The 21,408-nt window shown below is 39.6% G+C and overlaps 1 long non-coding RNA gene across 15 annotated transcripts in view, besides 1 other annotated feature; it reads left to right on the forward strand.

Annotated features, from left to right (window-relative positions):
• Positions 1-21,408, forward strand: part of LOC105372058 (uncharacterized) — an 83,282-nt gene that overhangs the window by 40,115 nt on the left and 21,759 nt on the right. For 12 of the 15 annotated variants that reach the window (XR_935347.2, XR_001753391.2, XR_001753394.2 and 9 more), the window contains 2 exons: positions 14,152-14,211; positions 19,735-19,782. The exons of 1 other annotated variant lie outside the window; for it this stretch is intronic. This is a non-coding gene — a long non-coding RNA (uncharacterized LOC105372058). Of the gene's footprint in view, positions 1-14,151; positions 14,320-19,734; positions 19,783-21,408 lie in introns of all 15 variants that reach the window. 2 more of the 15 variants (XR_001753390.2, XR_001753392.2) reach the window with 2 other exon arrangements.
• Positions 13,325-14,524: an enhancer, noted in NCBI's record as "MED14-independent group 3 enhancer chr18:30466839-30468038 (GRCh37/hg19 assembly coordinates)". NCBI's record gives its function as "activates an origin of replication core promoter dependent on BRD2, BRD4, P300/CBP and CDK7 cofactors, and independent of MED14, by STARR-seq in HCT116 cells {active_cell/tissue: HCT116}" and the evidence as "EXISTENCE:reporter gene assay evidence [ECO:0000049][PMID:35650434]".

Here is a 21,408-nt window from a genome sequence, read left to right on the forward strand (position 1 = left end):
TTTTTTCTTATTTTTACCTCTTCCTCTTCCACTTTCTGGGATATGACATGTGCCAATAAAGCAACAGCATTGGGTGTTTTTCCTTAACCTTAAATTTCTTGACATAACACACCCAACCCCTTTGGGGCTAACCTTATACCAACAAAATAGCATTGTTACCAATGCCACTGCAAGTTGAGAAATGGAACGAGGAATTCTTAGTGCAATGTTTAGGGAGATGCTAGGCAGTCACTTGGGGCTTTATACTTTAATCAAGGCCAGACGTTTGAGGGTAGCTTTCCTTTCTTCTACTCTTTCACTTATGAAGCGGAAGTGAACACTGAAGGAACCTAAGAGGTTCCAGGAGACATGGAAGTTGGTGTCCAAGTACGTGTAGGACCAAGAAATAAATAACCTGGAAAATAATCTCTGTAGAGTTGAGAGGCTGGCGGGGAAGATAACTATTAAGAGATGACAGAAGCTAAGGAAGACTCTTTATAGATTGCCACACAAGGGTAGAGCCTAACATAAATAATTGCCCTGAACATTTTTGTGATGACCTGTATTCAATTGATAATAATAAAATCCCAGCACTTTGGGAGGCTGAAGTGGGTGGATCATCTGAGGTTAGGAGTTCGAGACCAGCCTGATCAACATGGAGAAAACTCGTCTCTACCAAAAATACAAAATTAGCCACGCATAGAGATGCATGCCTGTAATCCTAGCTACTTGGGAGGCTGAGGCAGGAGAATTGCTTGAACCCAGGACACAGAGGTTGCAGTGAGCCAAGATCATGCCACTGCACTCCAGCCCGGGCAACAAGAGCAAAACTCTGCCTCAAAAATAAATAAATAAATAAATAAATAAATGAATAAATAAAATGTTGTGGTGATGGATTGTTAAGATCTCATTTCCTCTTCCTTTAATGACGTTAAGAGAGTATTGAATTCCAGCACTTTGGGAAGCTAGGTGAAAGAGTACTTGAGCCCAGGATTTCAAAATCAGCCTGGGCAATATGGTGAGATCCATCTCTACAAAAAAAAAATAATTAACCAGGCATGGTGGCACACACCTGTAGCCCTAGTTATTTGGGAGGCTGATGTGGGAAGATCAATTGATCCCACAAGGTCAAGGTTACAGTGAGCAGTGATCTCGCTGCACTCCAGCCTGGGTGACAGAGTGAGACCCTGTCTCAAAAAAAAAAAAAAAAAAAAAAAAAAAGGAGCATTGAAAGGAATCTTTCCCTATTGCCCTCCAAAATAAAATTCAACCTTGTACACATTTACCCCTACTGAGGCATTTGCCATATTGTATTATAATCACTTTTTTATTTCCTGTCATTTCCACTAGACTTTAAACACTCCTGAGGGTAGGGATTATAGATTTTTCATTAAGTATCTAGCAAAGACCTATTGCATAAGGGATGCGCACTAAATATTTGCAGAGTGAATGCATGAATACATTAATGAATGGAGCTAGGCCAGGCTATGGAAGGCAGGGAGGTATGAGGGTAGGCTAGAGAAAGCTTTCTAATTTACTGAATAGAATGAGAGGAAAGGAGGCCAGCACTAACTGAGTTCCTAGAGTAAGACCCTCTGTGCTTTGCACAAAGGAAGAGATCTTGCCTTCAAAAGTTAAATACTTTGTTATTCTTCATTGTAATAACTGGAAGCTCACCTGCATGCCTCTGATTCATGTGTGTTCTGTTTTTCCTTTTAGTCAATCCGTGTATTTGTCTGTTCTCATGCTGCTAATAAAGACATACCCGTGACTGGGTAATTTATAAAGGAAAGAGGTCTAATTGACTCACAGTTCAGCATGGCTGGAGAGGCCTCAGGAAACTTACAATTATGGTGGAAGGGGAAGCAAATATGTTCTTCTTCGCATGGCAGCAGGAGAGAGAAGTGCAGAGTGAAGTGGGGGAAAAGCCCCTTATAAAACCATCAGATCTCATGAGAACTCACTCACTCTTATGAGAACAGCATGGAGATAATCACCCCCATGATTCAATTATCTCTCACTGGGTCCCTCCCATGATACATGGGAATTATGGGAACTACAATTCAAGATGAGATTTGTGTGGGGACACAGCCAAACCATATCAATCAGCAATTCAAGGGTAGGACTTCTTGCTTCATGCTGCCTTTGAAGGTCTACAGCAGTATCACCATAGCTTGCTCATTGGGTATGTACAATGATGGTTCATGGCTGATACATTCAAGACCCAGTAAAGATCCTTAAACCAGCTCCTGTGCTGCAGAAGATCATCAATATGCTAGTTTCCTCTTTTTAAACAATGCTTCTTTGAGACTGCCATAGAGATGACTTAAAGATGACTCTAAGGTGCAGAAACTTTTCTGCACCTTAGAGTCATCTTTAAGGTCACACATCTATGGTTTCTATTCAGTGAGTTCCTGTAGTTCTTTTCTCTTCGTTATAAAGAGCAACAAAGCATATTTCTAGTTTTTATGATTGCACATCCTTTTAAAATAAAAGTCTTTATATATTTTTTTCTGGTGCCCCAAACATTGAGATAATCAGGGAGTATTATTAACATCAGTGGTATAATATAGAGTGACTGTTGTGTTTCATACTGGTGAGTGCCTAAATGTACTGATTCCTGGTTTGGTTATATTCAACTGATATAGATTGAGGGTTCTGTCAAATTATACGAAGACTAATAATAGGAAGTTCCTGCTTCCTGGGTATTGTTTATGAGAGAAATTAGAGAAGATACAAAGATTTGGATTTCATTCTTCATCAGGTGTTATATTGTCAGGAGAGAAAGAATACTGTAGTTGGAAGAATCTTGCCCTAGAAGCACTGAGTTTTAGAACACCATATACCACCATCCAGCTGTGCAACTTTGGGATAGCTATCACTTCTTTTCTCTTGTATTCAATTTCCTCACCAATAAAATCAAAGTGCTGAGCTCTGTCTAATTCTAACATTTCATGATGAAGATAGTTATAATTGAATACCTGTAATACTTGTCCTGTATTAGAAAGAGACAGAACACTTCTGCATAAGATCCTTATGCCCAATGATGCCCTCTGAATAGGCAATCCTAGAGACTAAAAGATAAGAGACTTACAATTCTGAGGCCATCACACTCTCATGATAAAATTCGAAGCTATAATCCAAATAAATTCCTATAAATAGGAAAGGGGCATCTACTCATAGAACAAAGGAAAATCAATTTCTCAGAACTATTTCCTGCAACATTAGAACATTCTGGACTCAATTGGCTATTGAGAACAGGCCATTAAAGCTAAACAATAGATTTCTATGTGAATTAATGCACAACTTCTTACCTAACATGAACATGCCAAGGACCTCCATATACTAGTTTACCCCCAAGACTCTGACTTTTTTTTTTTTTTTTTTTTTTGAGATGGAATCTTGCTCTGTCGCCCAGACTGGAGTTCAGTGGCATGATCTCAGCTCACTGCAAGCTTTGCCTCCCAGGTCCGGGTTCACGTCATTCTCCTGCCTCAGCCTCCCAAGTAGCTGGGACTACAGGTGCCCGCCACCACACCCAGCTACTTTCTTGTATTTTTAGTAGAGATGGGTTTTCACCATGTTAGCCAGGATGGTCTCGATCTCCTGACCTTGTGATCCACCTGCCTCGGCATCCCAAAGTGCTGGGATTACAGGCGTGAGCCACCGTGCCTGGCCAAGACCCTGACTTTCTTAAACATTATTTAACAGATGCAAATTGGCAATCTTATAATAATCTTAAACATAAGTCTGCAATGAGTTTTTTTGTTTTTAATTTTTTGGCATTTGACATTGTTGTTGATCCCAAAAGAAAGACATTGTTACATTTGTAAGTCAAGGTAAAGATTCAGAGAGCCCTCCAACACACAGGGCAGATGGTGAGATGTCATGGCGAAGTCGATTCAACACCCACATGGATTAGGTCGGATAACGCTGAAACTCTATATGAGCTATCAAGAAGATAAGGGTGCTTGAAAACTGCTCAGTGAGAGAGAAAATGTCAACACATATTGAAAAGAGCATTTCCAGGTCTTCAGTGGAAATTATTTTATCAGTGGGAGTGTTTTCAACTCCATCCCACAACTCCCAATCAGTGGCAATCTCAAAATCCCTCCAACTCTTTATGAGGTGAGGAAAGCCATCAAGCAGATGAAAAACAACAAGGCATCTGGAGCTGATGGAATCCCTGCTGAAATCTTCAAATCGGCTGAGGAAAATGCACACTATGGCTCCTTGATCTCATCTTGAAGCTTGAGAATGATGAAGAAATTCCAGATGACATCCGTGATGTTGCAGTTGTGACCATTTCAAGGCAAGGACACAAAGCTAATTGGAAAAAAAAAAACCACTCACACTCTTCCTTCTCAGGAAACTTCTTGCTGAGGTGCTTCCTTCATCATGCTACTTTTTGAAAGGCAATAGAGATGCTAAAAATGTCAATTATTTAACTTCAGTAGTTTGGCAGGGGCATTTTTTTTTTCTGATTTGGTTTGAATTACATGGATAGCAAACAGTGCAAACCATTGCCGATACCCATTGCATTGTTATTACATTGTTATTACTTCCCTACACATTTGATCACTCTTGAAGATTCCAAGACAAGGCTTGCATTATTCATCTTTCTATCTCCAGAGCCTGGCACATGGTAGGTGCTCAATAGATGGTCAATAAATTAATAAGTTACTTGAACATGACTTAGTAACTTGGATGTTAATAAGAGTAAGACTAGTTGCCTGGGCATAATATTTAACAGATAAATAAGGAATAAGGTTGCCATATGGCCTCAGGGTCCTCTGGCCATGCTGTCAGAATGGGAGCATAGAAGAAGATGGGGTCAGATCTCATACCTTCATTCATGGCCACTTCCTTAATTATGCACATGAGTGAGGGCGGGTGATAGAGAAGACAGGAGAGACAGGAGAGTGTGAGGCAGGCAAAGGACAGAAAAACAGAACTAAGGAAGCGGGAACATCAACCTTTCCTTTGGTTGTTGTTGACCTAGTTTCTGATCAGAATTGCACAGTGAGCTACCTCAGGGTCATAATGAGCATAGCACTCCCATTGTGCAAATGAGTGAGCTGAGATGCAGAGGATAATTGACGGGTCATTCCCCAAACTGGAGCCAACTCTGATTTGGCTATAAAGTTTGCATCTCCCTGCCCTGCACTGAAGCCAGAAGGCCAAACAGAACTGTCCCACAGAAGCTATGTGGGGGTTGGGGCAGGGACAATGTGGGTCCTCTCTCTGCTCCATAGGCACAGAGATAATACAGTGCACTATGTTAATTAACACTTAAAGCTGATACAGACTAAAATAAACAAATGTGCACCCATTCTGGTTCCACTTCTAAGACCTCATCCCGAGACCATAACACAGTTTGTTTTACAGCTTCTCTGGTCACGTGAGAGCCAGCATAATGAAACCGCTCTAATCTCTATTTTTCTAAAGTCTGTGTAGATACAGATGGCTCTGTTTTGGTCTCTGGGTTTTATTCTTATTTTGCCACAATTTTAACCTTTTATGTATCTCTTTCTGTGAGATATTCTCACTGTTTCCTCACTGCCTAGAGGCTCTGAGAGGCCCTTCATTTTCGTTTTTCCAACCAACGTATCATATTGTTCTTCAGCATATTAGAGATTTTTAAATAACAGGACATATTGCCATTCTTACTGGAGAATTCTGATATACAGGGATGCCATTCTGTGATTCATGAGAAAGCTTATTTCAGCTTCATTTTTTAAACATCAAAAGTTGAAGAATAGATGTTTAATTTTCAAAGTATCCATAATCACGTGTGCCTGGAAGGCCATGAGCAGCAGAGAAAGGACTTGGAAAGCTATAACGTCTCATGCATATGTTTTATGCTTGTGGGAAGAAAAAGAGACTAGAAAGGAAATAAGAGAGCCACGAAATAAAGAGAGCTGGATATGACACAGGTTCTGAAAGAGAAAAAATTCAGGACTTTGTTGAGCCTCACATGCAGAGTCAAATTCAGAAAAAAATGGCAACATATAAACAGCTCACAAAGCACAATACTCAGTCTCATAAATTCGGCACAATCTGGGTACCAGCTTCCAGCTTCCAGTTGCAATAAGAGAATTGCCAAGTAGAAAAATGACCAAAGCATTCCCGACATGTTTGCATAAGTGAGGTAAGGAGCTCAAAGGAGGGATTTAAAAGAAGACTCTGCATTGTTCGTGAAGTCATTCAAGCAGAAGGAGGGTGGAATTCCATCTGTTCAGTTCAGTTTGGTTCAATGAACTGGGTCACTTTTAATGGTTCACTAAATTCTGACTATCTAAAAATTACAGTTAATGTGTTTTAAAAATCTTGAGCTGCATGACAAGAACACCTTATTACTTGTTCTTCCTTGCCCTTGGGTTTATCACCTCTGAGATTGGGTAAAGTGGGGTGCCTTTCATGAGATGGGCAAATTGGGTTGCTGTATCCAGCATCAGATGCCTACCAATAGCTCTGCATTAAAAAAGACAAAAAAAAATGCTTTTATATCCCCTACTTCCTTGATCCTCTCCCTGACTGGAGTTTTGAGGCTGGGGCAACTATTTCTCACTCATGTGAGACTGATCTGGGAACATATCTGAGGTAGAGGAAGGAGACCAGCATAGAACTAGAAAGCAGAAAAACTATTGTAGAAAAATAAGTACATAAGAGAAAAATCATAATTCATGTTTCGGGGAAAGTTTGAAAGTCTCAAAGCACAGGATGCTCCAGGGAAGTGTTTCTGGCTTTAGGCTTTTCAAGGAGGTGATTTGTACCCAATTTCATGTGATTAAACATTTCCCCAGCTTCCTAAGGATCAGGGTTACTTTCAAAGGTAAACCTAAGAAAATAAAAGAATCGTGTTCCCTGATTTTGAATAAGTGTGTTGGTTTTTCTCTGCACAGCAAAACAAGCCTTTTATCACAACATGGAGATGCTTTTTAATCATGGCATTTTTAAGGGCAAAGTGATATTGAACTATGGATGAAACACCTTTCTAGAAAAGATGAAACTGTCGGGAATCAGAATGAGAAAAAGGGAGATTTGTTCCAAAATTGAATTTAGGCAACCTTGATCTTATTTTCCATGTCATCTTTGCCTATTAAAAATATACCTATTCCTCCTGGATACTGACCAACATGGCCTCTTGTTGCAAAGTGCTGCTTGATATGCCAGTAGGACATCTCTTCGTGATAGACGAGAGAAGCAGAGTTGAAAGCAACACCTGAAGCTTTCAAATAGGAAATAACACAAGATCAGCCCAAGGACATCTGCAAGTTAAAAAACAACACCTCTTCCAAAGACAGTTTCAAAAAAATAAATAATCATACTAGAATTGGGACTATGGCTACTGAATAGTGATGAAGATGATCAACTAAATCATTAATGCTGATGGGATGTTTACTTTTCTACTCAGACCTAGCTAGCTAGCTCAGAATTATTTGTTCAAATTGAAATTCGATTTTAAGAGGGCTAGATAAATGTGAGACTAGACGAAGCCATCCTTATTTGGTTCTAATGGCACAGTGTCTTTCTGAAGCATTACAAGTTGTATTCTTTTGTTCATTTAATAAGCACAAAAGCACGTAGAGAGCTGCAGATGAGGACACTTCTCCTTCGGCTTGTATTTGCACAGGGTGGAGTCACACAATGATTTGGGGAAGGGACTGCCCCCACCTCTGGCTTTCCTTTGTACAGTTTTCACACCTGCCAGCGTGGGAGGGTAAGCCTCTGTCCCCCTACAGATGGTCTATCAACAGGGGTCACAGCAGCTCCCAGCTCTGGACTAGGACTATGAATTAGTGTAGTTTCCCTCCAGCAAATTTTCTTCCATGGGCCCCACTGGGGCCACTAGTGGTGGAGGACATGGTCTGAAGAATCTCTCTCCTTTGACCTAATTACTTCTTCTCTAGTCTCCCCAGCTCTGTCCCTGCCAGATGTAATCCATTTCCTAAACTTCTGTCATGGGAGTCTTTCCCAAACATTGATGTGATGGAATCCCTCCCTTGCTTACAGGTCTCTTGAGCTCTCCTTAAGATAAAGAATAATCTCCTTAGCAGATATGTGTATCTTTTTACCACATTATTCCAAGGGTCTTTACAAACTCATTATCAATTGTTGAGTTTTTTGCTCATCCTTCAGGGATTGGCTCTAAAGCCCCCTCTGTTGAAGACTTTAATTACTCAACCCATCCATCCTCTTCCCCACCATGGCACCTCCATTGGAGCAGTTGTTGCAGGGTATTGCAATGACGTATCCATCTTTCTTTCTATTTTCCCATCCAGGCTGTGTAGCAATCAAAAACAGGAATGTATTCATGCCTAGTGCAGTGTTGAATACTTGTTAAAAATATATTTAATTGGATGGTAATATCTGCTTTTTTATGTTTTTGTTTCAATCTGTTTTCTACTCCAGCTACCAGTTTAATATAGTTCTAGGGTGTTATTCCCATTTCTGTTACTTTCCTTCTTAATATTTATGAATATGTTTGTTTGAACATATACTTGTTTATTGGTGTTCTCTATCAGTAAAATAAAAACTCTATAAAGCCAAAGACATCATCTCATTTTGTTTACACTGTATCTCCTATTCCTATCTTTGTACCTTCTTAGTAAATATTTGCTTAATCAAAGAAGGAATTAATTAAGAAATTCTTCAGCACAAGATGTTGAGTTATAGACACCTCACTTACAATTCTTTAGGCAATGACCAAATGAATTGCTTTTCGCTTTATTTACTTTCTTCTTGATTTTAATAATTCTTTTCTACAGCTTCCCCACTATTTAAAATGAAAAAATCTTGCATCAAGGGAAGGAAAAAAAAATGAGTGGGAAATTTACAAAGAAACCCTTTTACATGTTGACTATGGAATCCTTTTATAAATGGCTGAGTTCCCTCAATTCATGCACCAGTGATTACTTCTTTCTTCTTCTTTTTCCTACTCAGAGGTCTGCCCGAATCTGCTGGCTAAGCCGCCTCCAATACAAAGGGGAATTAATATTGTAGGACAATTAGAATTTGGTGTCCCTTCCACTGTGATGTTTTAGAAAATCAAGGTAGGGTTTTATCCCTGACCATAAGTTGAAATCTTAATATATTTGAACTTAAACTCATCATGGCCTGAGCCTATTGCATGAACTATTATCTATTATCTAATGCTACTGTGAAAAGTGACACTCTATGGCAAATAGGGGACCAAAATTGTTGCCCTCCACTTTAGTCCTACATTATATTACTGAATTTAAATCATAAGAGTTAGGGGCCAATAGTGAAGGAGGTGTGTGTGTGTGTGTGAGTGAGTGTGTGTGACTGCATGTGTGTTCAGGGATGCCCTGAAGTTAGGTGAGTGGCCTAATCCATCATGGCATCTCACAGGCACTTGACTGTATGATTTGAGGAGTTCCTGGTGAGTGAACCTGCCACAAGAAGGAAGGGCAACACAGCAATCATGGCTGTCCCCAGTAATTTTGTCCCCTCTCAGTTTCAACAGTCTTCTCTTGGCTCTTCAGATAATGGGGTCTGCCACCAATACACCAACTGTCTCAAGTCAGGTGCTGAAACAACTCAAACCAGGAAATATGAAGACATAGATATATCTCATTTAATGCTGATACCTTTAACTTTTATGAGCTCAGTTCCCTCAACAAAAATAAGTGGAGAGTTGTAGTGAGTAGAGCATGGGTTGTTGAGAGGATTCAGTGATATGTAAAGTGCTCAGCACCAGCATCTGGTACATTTCAAGTAATGTGCAGTGGTTGTTATCACTATTACTACTAGTCCTGAGGTTAGAATAAACCTGCTCTATCTTTCTCTCTTCTTTACATATAGTCTCATTAAAAACAAACAAACACTAGACTCCAGCATTCAAAACCATTCACCAGTGGCTAAGAGAACAGATTCTAGAACCAGGCTACTTGGATTTGAATCCCGGCTCCTCAACTTACTGGGCCGGTAACTTTAGTTGAATTATTTAGCCTCTTTATGCCTCTGTCTTCTTACCTGTAAAACCAGGATAAAGACTGCATTTTTTCCTTGGTATATGGTCAGTATTCACTTATTTAAAGAACTTGGGAAAGTGTACATGGTTAACATGTAGTACTTGGTAGATCTTTGCAGATTGGCTCTTTTGACCTTATCTCCTGGGACAAAACCTTGAAGTCTTTTTGCTCAGTCATGGCTGGCATGGATGCTGGATCCAGCAATGTGTACTGCTCACCTCAGACGAACTCCTATGGCTGGTGGAACTCTTGGTCTTTTCAAAATTTATTTCCTAATATTTTCCTTGCCTGTGGGCCCAGGATTAGCCCTTCTGGCTCTAGACTTCATTTAACTTCTGCAGCTGGAACCTGTCCTCTTCCCCTATTCTTTCAGGGAGACCCTCTATTGTGCTGTATGCCATCAACAAATGAAGGAAATGGAAGCCAGCTAAAATGCATTGAAACCCTGGTATGCTAGATATTTATAGTAATATGTGTTAAATTTCACAGTAACCATGAAAAATAAGTTTTATTCTAGTTTGTCAGATGTGGAAACTAAGTCTCAGGAAGGCTGAGTAATTTGCCCCAAGTCATGTAGTAAGCAAGTGGTAGAGAGAGAATGTAAACTCAGGTCTGTTTAACTTTCAGAAACTGTGCTTGCTTCTTCCCTTATATCATGTTGTCCCATTATTTTGTAAAAATGATCATAAGTTTATTGTAAGTGTATTGTATGTGTATGTAAGTGTATTGTTATTGTATTAAATTTGATTATCCTATTTTAATTTTAATTTTACATGGTTTATATGTGATCCTTCTGGAGGTGAAGATTATGGATGGGATGGAAAGGAGTGATACTACCATGAATTGAAAACTTTCGTTCTCTGTTCCTCTCTTTCTCAATCTCTCTCATACACACACCACACACACATTTACTTTAATTTATCTATATGTTTGTCTATGCATCTACCTATCATCTCTATGTATACATATTCATACATGTGCATTTATTAAATACCATCAAATATTTATTGATAATTTATTTTATGTAAAGGCAATAAAACTTTCTTCTTTACATTTTTCATTGTAACAGAAACTTAGAAAGTCTATTCTTGCTTTGGAATAGTCAGTGATTAGCATCGAGCAGGGCCTGTCTTTAGGCAAAGTCTCACTTCTGCACTTGCTTTCTGGGCTATTACCCAAGCCTAGACTCACCCTGCAGTAGGGTATTTTCTCCTTGAGAGCTGTTCTACCACAGCCTGTGTTCCCACAGGGGCTGGTGGAGGGAAAGCCCCTCTCTACTCAGCATTGCAAGTTGCCTAATGAACTTCTCACTGAATTCTTGTTTCAAATTTGAGAGATGGTTCTAATCTCAACTGATTTGTGAAGCTGAGACGACCTGATGAATACCTCTGATGTTAGTTATTTCTGCCAATTTTCTCATTGGTTAAATTTCAAGCGATGTCTACTCAAGGTCTGATATGGTTTGGATCTGTGTCCCTGCCCAAATCTTATGTTGACATGTAATCCCCAATGCTGGGAGGGGGCGCCTGGTGGGAGGTGATTGGATCATGGGGGCAGTTTCTCATGAATTGTTTAGCACCGTACCCCCTAGTACTGTTCTCGTGATAGAGTTCTCACAAGATCTGGTTATTTAAAAGTGTGTAGCACCTCCCTCTCCCTGTCTCTTGCTCCTGCTCTGACCATGTAAGATGTGCCTGCTTCCCCGTTGCCTTCTGCCATGATTGAAAGTCTCCTGAGGCCTCCAAAGAAGCTAAGAGGATGCCGGCATTATGCTTCCTATACAGCCTGCAGAACCATGAGCCAATGAAACCTCTCATCTTTATAAATTACTCAATCTCAGTTATTTCTTTATGGCAATGCAGGAATGGACTGATACAAGGTCCCACTTATTCAAAGAACTCAGTCATACGTCTGCCATGATACCCTTTCCTCTATTGGGTCAGTTGCTTAAGATTCTATCTTTTCTTCTAAATATAGCTGAAAATTATTTAAACATCACATGGAAACTATGTTAATATGTTATTTGTAAGGATTGTATGTGAATGTGAAATCTCAGAGGACAGGATGAAAAAACCAGAAGATACTCTTGGTCTTTCAGGGCTGAATGGCAACCTGGAGGCCCAACTGCAGATGAAGCCTGCTATTTGAAAACTGGAAATTAGATGGGGTCACTATCACCCCTGCATCTTCTTCCATATTGTCAATTTCCCAGAATGCTAGGTTGAACACCTAACTGCCTGAAATGGGTTTTAGAATAGGGAACAAAAATGTTTGTGTGTGTGAGAGTGTGTACATGCATACATATATAATGATAATTTCAAAGTGGAATGGCTATGATTGGTTGCAGGAGCCCTTAATAAGTACACTAATTCCCCAGGCCCCACACACACTATTTTTTTTCTGGAAGGCCATTAAAATAGGAAAATCCAGTGAGGGGAGGATCACAACACACCAGCAGTAAACACAAGCAGGGCCTCTGCAGTATTTAGGCCTCTTTTCTCTGAATAGCCCCTTCTTCTTTTATCTCTTTCACTTGTAAACTGTCTAGGCTAAGTATAAAACAAATGAAGAGGGAGAGGACAAAAGAACAGTAAAGAAAAAGTTTGAGCAAGACCAGCAATTGAAAGCGGGCAAATAGTGGTGGAATGGATGGACAAGGGAGAGCGAGAGTGGGAAGCTGTAGAGAAAGTTGAGGGGAAGGGAAGGTACCCCATATTGAAATAGGATTAATCTGATAGCATCTAGTAAACGTCAACATGTTGGGAGCAGATCCACGCATGAAAAGTTTTGTTTTTTTTTTTTTTTTTTTTTTTTTTAGATGGAGTCTTGCTCTGCTACCCAGGCTGGAGTGCAATGGTGCAATCTCAGCTCAATCGCCTCCCAGGCTCCAGTGGTTTTCCTGCCTCACCCTCCTGAGTAGCTGGGATTACATGGTATGCCACCACAGCCAGCTAATTTTTGTATTTTCAGTAGAGACAGGTTTCACCATGTTAGCCAGGCTGGTCTCGAACTCCTGGCCTCAGGTGATCTTCCTGCCTCGGCCTCCCAAAGTGTTGGGATTACAGGCATGAGCCACCGCGCCCAGCCCCACATGAAGGATTTTTTAAAAACACAAATATTTTGTAAAATTGCAAGTGGAGAAGGAAGGTAATTAGAGCAAGTATCTGGCAAGGGAAATTGGAGTAGGTAAACAGGAGAACCGCAACATCTGATTTGCCCACTTCGTCTTGTAGTTTAAGGTCAACTCTTGTGTGCATTTGGTTCCATCATCTAAAGGGAAAAATGTAAATTAGTGTTATGTATATATTGTCATGTATTAGCTTTGAGATAAAAAAGCACTCATCTTTTTTTTTCTTTTCTTTTGAGATGGAGTGTCACTCTGTTGCCCAGGCTGGAGTGCAGTGGTGCAATCTCAGCTCACTGCAACCTCCGCCTCCCAGGTTCAAGTGATTCTCCTGCCTCAGCCTCCGGAGTAGCTGGAATTACAGGTGTGTGCCTCCATCCCCAGCTAATTTTTGTATTTTTTAGTAGAGACGGGGTTTTGCCATGTTGGCCAGGCTGGTCTCAAACTCCTGACCTCAGGTGATCTGTCTGCCTCAGCCTCGCAAAGTGCTGGGATTACAGGCATGAGCCACCGTGCTCAGTCAAAAAAACCACTCTTATCTATTATTATGCCAAAAGCTCTACAGAGCCCTTAACTGGGTCAGAATCCTCTATTTTTGTTTCTATGAGTAATATTTGTTAACAATAAAATCATGTCACAGAATATCTTATGTGGAAGTGGGCAGCTTCACTCTTGAATGGCAGATACCCATCTAAATACCAAGAATCATGCTACTTATTCAAGGTTATAAACAGAGGAAGGTCATCAAGAGTGGAAGTGTCATATCCTGGAGGAAGAGGCAAGCTAGTTTCCTTGTCATTGTATTTGGACTCCTCAAAGTGAAACATGGTAAGGTTTATACAGGTTTTTGTTGATTTGCTTTTCATTGATTTTACTCTTTGTCTTCAACAAAGAAAAAGAAGCTGTAGGTTTATCCCTGTCTCTGCAGCTGCAATTGTGACTTCCTTGGAAAAAAAAAAAAAAAAGCCAAAAGGACAGCTCTTTACCGATTAGGAAGTAGAAAATTTGATAGCTTCTGAAAATAAATGCCTGTATTCCATTTTCTGGCAGGCCGCTGTGGTTCGTCTTCTGCCTGGGAACTGGATAAAAACATCAGTGAATACCCCAAAGGTCAGAATTTCAGAACTGCTGCCACAACTGTATTGTCACCAAGTAGTCACCATGCTCTCACTCACTCTCTTTTTTTAAGAGGCCTGGTCATGTCCGGGGGAATGCCAGGTACATTTTTCTTAATGTATGAGCACAAGTTACATATAACAACCTAACAACACAATACTGCCTCTTTAATGCTAATCTATTCCTTGCAATCTACTAGATACATGTAGAGTCATTGGTGTGTATCAAGAGAGCAAAATCAGATTCTGAAAATATCTGAAAGGATGCACTAGAGTGTACATAATAATGTATTTTAATCTGCCAGGCCTTAAAATTAATCATGAATTCCCACAGAGATTTTAATAATTTTGAAATGATGTTTTTTTTTTCTTCATAGAGTAATATTCTTGGACAGAGTTTTCTAAATGCTGCAAGGGTAAAAAAAAAAAAATATAGGTGGGGGAGGGGGAAGCAGGGGCAGTTTCTCGTTTGCCATCTTAGAGGAGATGTGTTTACCAGGGGAACATGTTTTCTTTTGCTCCTAACTAAAAGGCAAGGTAGGTGTTTCAAAGAAAGGCTTTATCACTCCATAAAAGCTGACAAGTCTCGGGAAGTTTATTAGGGGTAATAATGTGCATTTGTTAAGCAGTGGGAATAGTCCTGAAGCAAAGAGGTCCATTCTAGCGAGGGGGTGGATACCTCAGCAGCATTACAGAACTTGGCCATCAGCAGTTTTCAGAGTGGCACAGGAGGAAAACCTTGGTGGTCAAACTGCAATAGGCTCTGGAAAGGGTGACCATATTATTTATTGTTTAAACTGGGACTTTTGAGAGGGAAAATAAAAGTAAATAATTACCCTGGGGTATATGCTTACTTTCAGTTCAAGGGCAGGTAGCAAAGGTCTGGATTTCAGGTTTCTGATTTAGCAGTGGCCCCTGCCTTTCAAAGAGGGGTGGTCATGTCTGTTTCCCTTACTGCCCTAAGATGCTAGGCCCATAAACTGTTTAGGCTCTTTGAACTTTATCCAACAAAGGTGTTATGTAAAATTATAAATACATAGCATTGTTTCATGAATAATAAACAACTAAAAATATTATGACCTAGATTGATGATTTTTCAGGGATATCCAGGGTACCAGGAAAAAAAAAATACGTTCCTAGAGGTATGCTGGACTTTCTATATCTTTTTAAGTCTCCATAAAATACCCTATTCAATGCTAAAAAAAATGTGTACACATGGACATACAGAGTAGACTGATAGAAAATGGAAGCTTAGCAGGGTGAGGAGGTGAGAGGTGGGTGGATGATGAGAAATGACTTAGTGGGTACAAGGTATGGTATTCAGGAAATGGGTACTCTAAAAACCTTGACTTGACCACTACCCAATCTATGCCTGTAACAAAATGGCACTAGTAACCCACACATTTATACAAATAAAAAGATAAAATAAAGTACCCCATTACAGTGTCTGGCTACAAGGAGAAGGGAATTTTTCTTGTGATCCACCAAGTTTTAGGTAACTATCCCTGAAATGCAGCTGTCATAACATGTCTTCGTCCCTTTTCTACCCATCCATTAAAAACAAGTGTACTTAATTGTACACTTGAGTGTGTATTTAATTTCCTCCAGTCCCCATGTCCAGATTTTTCTAAGAGTTGAAGTAGAGCATATTTGTTAGAAGTAGGCAGAAAAGATTATTTTACCTGAGTTACATTACCTTCAAATAATTTGCAGGCTGGTAGAATCAGGAATCTCACTAGTGTGTGTGCTCCTTTAAGAAACTATTTTATTGTTCTTTGGGTTGGCTAGTGGAATAAAATCGGAGATACTCATTTGGCCTAGCCTACACTTCCCTTCCAGATTTCCCATCTTCCACTATCCCATTGAATCAGTGATATTCATTGCCTTAAGAGATAGTTATTGAATGGAGTACAGGATACAAAAGATCAGAGAAAGTGAAAAAAAAACCACAAATCCCTGGCTTTGAGTTTCAAAGAAGGCCTCTGGAAATTCCCAGTAGAGGAAATGGCCTTGGGAGCAAATCTTTTCATCTTACTAGGAGCAGGCATTTTGGAATAAAAGGCTAAATCCCCAGCTCAGCAGCAGTTAATGCCTTAACTAGGAGTGCTTCCCAAACTGGAAGGGGCACAGGAATCACCCGGGAGCACTGTTAATGCACAGCTTCCTATTGGGCCTGAGTGTCTGCATTTCTAATAAGCTTGAAAATACTGCAAGCTACTGGTCCCTGGTTTACATTTTAAATAACAAAGCCTAAAATAATAGTTTGGAAAGTGAACAAGTGAAAAACCTAATTAATCAGACTAGAAACAATACTTTACTGTTTGGGAAGAGTTGCTTTGAGAGCTTAGCTTGTCCCTATGAAGACAGCTAAGAGAAGTCCCTATAAAAGGGCCTTGTGGCTGCTATGGTGTGGGGCCCACAAAGAAGCGGCTATGACAGCAACCAGGCAGGGCCTCTTTGGGAAGTCCTCTGGGGCACAGTGCAACAACAGTGGACGCAAAGAAATGGCTGCCGGGAACTGTACAAATGTCCTGAGCTGGCATCTTTCCTATGCCTGAAGCCACCCAGAGAGGTGGGAGAACATCCCTAAATTTCTGTGCTTCCTGAGATGGGTGTGGAATGCTTCCTAGCGGGCTAGTGAAAGTGGCGGACGGAGCCCTGGAGTTGCGATGTTGGGATGCAGAGTGACTAGGAGAATCTGAGCAGCAGGGGCCATGTGGATACCTGAGTTTTTCCAGGTAACAAAATCAGAGCAAAATGACCAAAGGCAAGACAAAGGAGTCACTTCTCATCAAGAGTCTCATCTCATTGCAAGGATGGAGGATGCCTATAGCCCTCCTGGAATGTTAATATCACTCCAGGGAGAAAAGGAGCATTGATAGGCCTATAAATGGACTGAGCTTGCCTGAAAGAGACTGAGACAGCCCTGAGGTGACTGAAAATAAGCCCTATGTTTATCTGAACTAAAGTGATTTCCTTTATTAGGTAAAACATGGGTGTAAAATGGGAATTAAGGTAATGCATATGTTAATCAGTTCAACTGAGCCATTCCATAATGTAGACATATTTTAAAACATCGTTGTACGTGATAAATATATATAATTTTTGTTTGTCAATGAAAAAATAAAAGATTAAAAATGGGGGTTACATGGACATTTAGAAAAGAATTTTAAAACTTCCATATTTTACATATCTGAGTATACGCTTATGAAATATCTGACCTACTCCATTGCAATTCCTATTATTTAGCATATTGCTCATTGTTTAGTAGGCACCTAGTAATTATCATTTCACTGAATAAATAAAATGAAAACAACTCAGTTTCTCAAAAACAAACAACAAACATAGCAAAACAAAACAAAAGCCTCAATAACAAGTACATGAAGTTCAAGTTTAATACTGTCCTAAAGATTTTTAAAAAAAAACCTTTTAGAAGAGTGTTGATTAACCAATGTCAAGCCTTACTAGAGACAGAAAAATAGTAAAGAAGCTTGACGCTTGGCACAAACTGAGTACATCTTAAAGATGCAGGTGCTAGTGTGGTGTGCTCAGCAAAGGAGGATGTGAGCCCAGAATTTCTGGAGATCTTTGAAAGTGGGCTAGATAAGATCTATGTAGTTCTGCTTAGAAACAGGAAAATGATGATAATTTCTTTGTTTCTTTTTCTCAAAAAATATAGTTTCAGTTCAGCAATATAGTTTTAAATCTAATCAGAGGTCAATTTCGTCTTCACTTTGGTAGTCCTGGTTATTAATACATGCATAGCAGATATTTTAGGACCAGAGCTGAAGTTCCCATTAACACATTATTTTAATTTTTGATCAATATTGTGTGTTTGATAAGAGACTTGGCATATAAAGCTAAAAATGCCACATGCCCTGTAGGGAGCCTTTTATTTCTAGTGACATATATTGGAGTTATTCTTCTTTGTTCATATGATTTACCCTCAAAAATCTATTGAATGTGCCCCCAGAGAAGCACAGATAGCTGTTTTAATAATCATATTGGTATTCGGGTGGAATGGAGTGGGTAGAACTGAAAGAACTTTCAGGGAATATTGTTCCTAGAATCTGTGGTTCCACCAGCCTGCGTATAATAGTTAAAGTGCAGTAACATAGCTAGAGTTTGCAGAATAAAGTTAGCAGTTGTACTCTTGTAAATATTGATCTTTCACCTCCTTCCCAGGTTTGAGAGCCCTTTGCTCATACCAGAAGTGGCACAATATGCTGCTAGGTCAACAGATGGCAGGGTTACACTATCTCTGTCTCTTTCCCACCACAAGCAAAAGAAATTTACCCAAAGCATTTGGCTATCTAGTGTCTAGTGTTCGCTTTAATAGAGCTGATAGTCGAGTCTTCAAGTTCTGCTTTTGACCCTAGTGATTCTGTGCTATTGGAAAGTGCTGATGAACTGAGATAGCCCTTCAGCTTGGTTCTCACTGGTAGCATCTCTACAATGGAAAGCCTATGGAAGCAATGGAAGACTTGGTTCTTTGAATATAGCATAGAATATGGAGTGGTAGAATAATAGCCCATTTTAATCTCTTGCTCATATATTTTTCTTGAAACGTCTGTATCACTCATGACTATCTGGGTCCCATATTGTACTTTCAGGCTATCTATATATGAAGTCTATTTTCATTCTTAACACAGTGACTATGAAGTGGAGATTATGCCCATTGTACAGATGAGAAAAATCATGTCTAGAAAGGTGAAATAACTTGCTCAACATCCCAGGGATAGAAAAGAGCAAGGCAGAGATTTGAAATCAGGCACGCTGATCTCAAAATTTACACTTTTTATGCATAAGAGTTGCCCAGTGTAGGAGCTGCTATATATATTTGCAAGGCCACAGAAGGGTGGTGGAGTTCAGTTGTGGTTTAATGGACCTGATAACTAACTTTTGGATGTGTATAGCATTTACAGTTTTGCTCAGTTTACTTTTGAGACCTTCCAGTCTGGTGAGTGACAGTGAGACTCTCTCCACCAAAGTACAGAATATCTCAGGATGTGTGTATTACACACAAGAGTGGGTAGAGTTAGAAAAGGGATTCTAGCCCCCAAATCTCCTTCTTACTCCACTACTTCCATTTGTAATGTTTGAAAGACAGTTCCCTTAAATTAACCTCTGTTAGCCTATGTCATTTTGTGGGAGCAATTAATTTTTCCAGGTTCTCCTCAGCATTTTGCAGCCACCTTCAATAACCAACCTCGTGATATTTTAACTGAACCACATCACTTGTGTTTCTAACATTGATATGGATTTTACACAGCTGTTTACACTAATATGTGCTAAAATGCCTAATTACTGCTGCAATCACAGGCTGGCTCGACAGTTTTGCCAGCTCTTAAATATATAGTCATATCTTAATCAAACACAAACGTCAATAAGCATCCTAAACTCCTGCAATTTGTAAACTGGATTAAGGGCAATAAATGCAACCCTTCAAACAAGAATACAGAATTTTGCATATTTCATGCTAATATGCTCATCTGTTTGTTTTGCTGTTGTTTCCCAGATTTTCAAAAATGCTTGTTGATAAAATGAAGTCAGAATGTGAGATGAGGTGAGTGTTTATTAGCATTGAGTAAAAGGCTTCAGAAGGCCTAAAGAAGGCTGTACTATAATAGTATTTTTTAAAAATGTGTGACATTTATATTTATATTAAATTGTTGGCTGATGATTCTTTAGCCAACTGGGTAAACTATTTTTGTGTGTGTGTGTGACAGAGTCTTGCTCTGATGCCAGGCTAGAGTGCAGTGGTGCGATCTTGGCTCACTGCAACCTCTCCCTCCCCGGTTCAAGCGATTCTCCTGCCTCAGCCTCCCGAATAGCTGAGACTCCAGGCACCTGCTACCACGCCCAGCTAATTTTTTGTATTTTTAGTAGAGACAGGATTTCACCATGTTGGCCAGAATGGTCTCGATCTCTTGACCTCGTGATCTGATCTCTTGACCTCGTGATCCGCCTGCCTTGGCCTCCCGAAGTGCTGGGATTAGAGGTGTGAGCCACCATGCCCAGCTGTAAACTGTTATTACTTATATATTTTTTAGCAGGAATGAAAACACCTACTAGGTATTAGGAACGATGATAAGAGCTGGTAATTGCTTTAGAATGTCATAAATAGGCTACTGTGTGTATAAGTTACTCTGGGATCCTGGAGAAGGAAACGTTTCTTTACCACTGAGAGCTCAGGGTAGACTTCATAAAAGAGACATGTTCGTATTGGAAAAATGGAGGATTTTCCAGGAGGACAAGCACAAGAGATACAGACAGGAAACAGAAAAAGAGCAGTCATCGTCACCAATGAAATGGAAGAGAGCAGGCAAGTTCTGGAAACTGCAGTACCTCTGTACGAGGATAGAGGGCTGCTTGGAGAAACCTAGGAGACGTAATGTTAGGAACATCATCGTAAGCCCTGTAGATGATGATGGAATGCCTTATGATAGTAAGACTGTGTTAGCTATAAAATAACAAGGAAAGAGAATTATAGAGCTGCCATTTGACTCATAGGAATTTTGTCTGTGGTTACGTGACCCATCTCCCAAAAAAATGTGTGCCCCCAACATCTAAGGAGCTTATACTGGAGAAGCCAATGATAGTCCATGAATATTAGTAGGAAATCATTAGGTTTGTCTCTCTTTTCATTGGCTGACTTATTGATTGAGTTATGTATTCATTCCAGCATTGATTCAGTAAATGTCTACTTAGCCTTTACAATTTTTTAATATTTGTCCCAGTCACTGAGGAAATGACAGTGATGTTCTCTCCTGTCTGAGAATAAGAGGTTATGGGATTAATAGTATCAGGGGACTTGGCAAAGAATAAAAATGATTATATCACTCTCATTTATTTTATCAAAAAGAACCTGCCACTTTCTTGACTTTATAGATTCTTTAATTTTACTTGTACTCACCACATTTAAGAGAATATTTTTTCCAATGAACTCCCATCTATCTGGAATTAAAATACATGTAAGACTAAAATAACTGGAATTTTAAAAAGTGCATCGTTGTTTTATAGGGGAAATGGTAAGAAATTAAGAATCTAGGCAACACTGACTGTAGTATACCCTGAATAAACTGCATATTTAATTTAATTTCTTATAACCTCATCATTTAAACGTTGCACAATAAAAACATGTTTAGAATGGAGACCACTACGATATATCAAGTATACTTCAAAATCAACA

This window comes from Homo sapiens, chromosome 18 (genome assembly GCF_000001405.40).
Source record: "Homo sapiens chromosome 18, GRCh38.p14 Primary Assembly".
Lineage (NCBI taxonomy): Eukaryota > Metazoa > Chordata > Mammalia > Primates > Hominidae > Homo > Homo sapiens.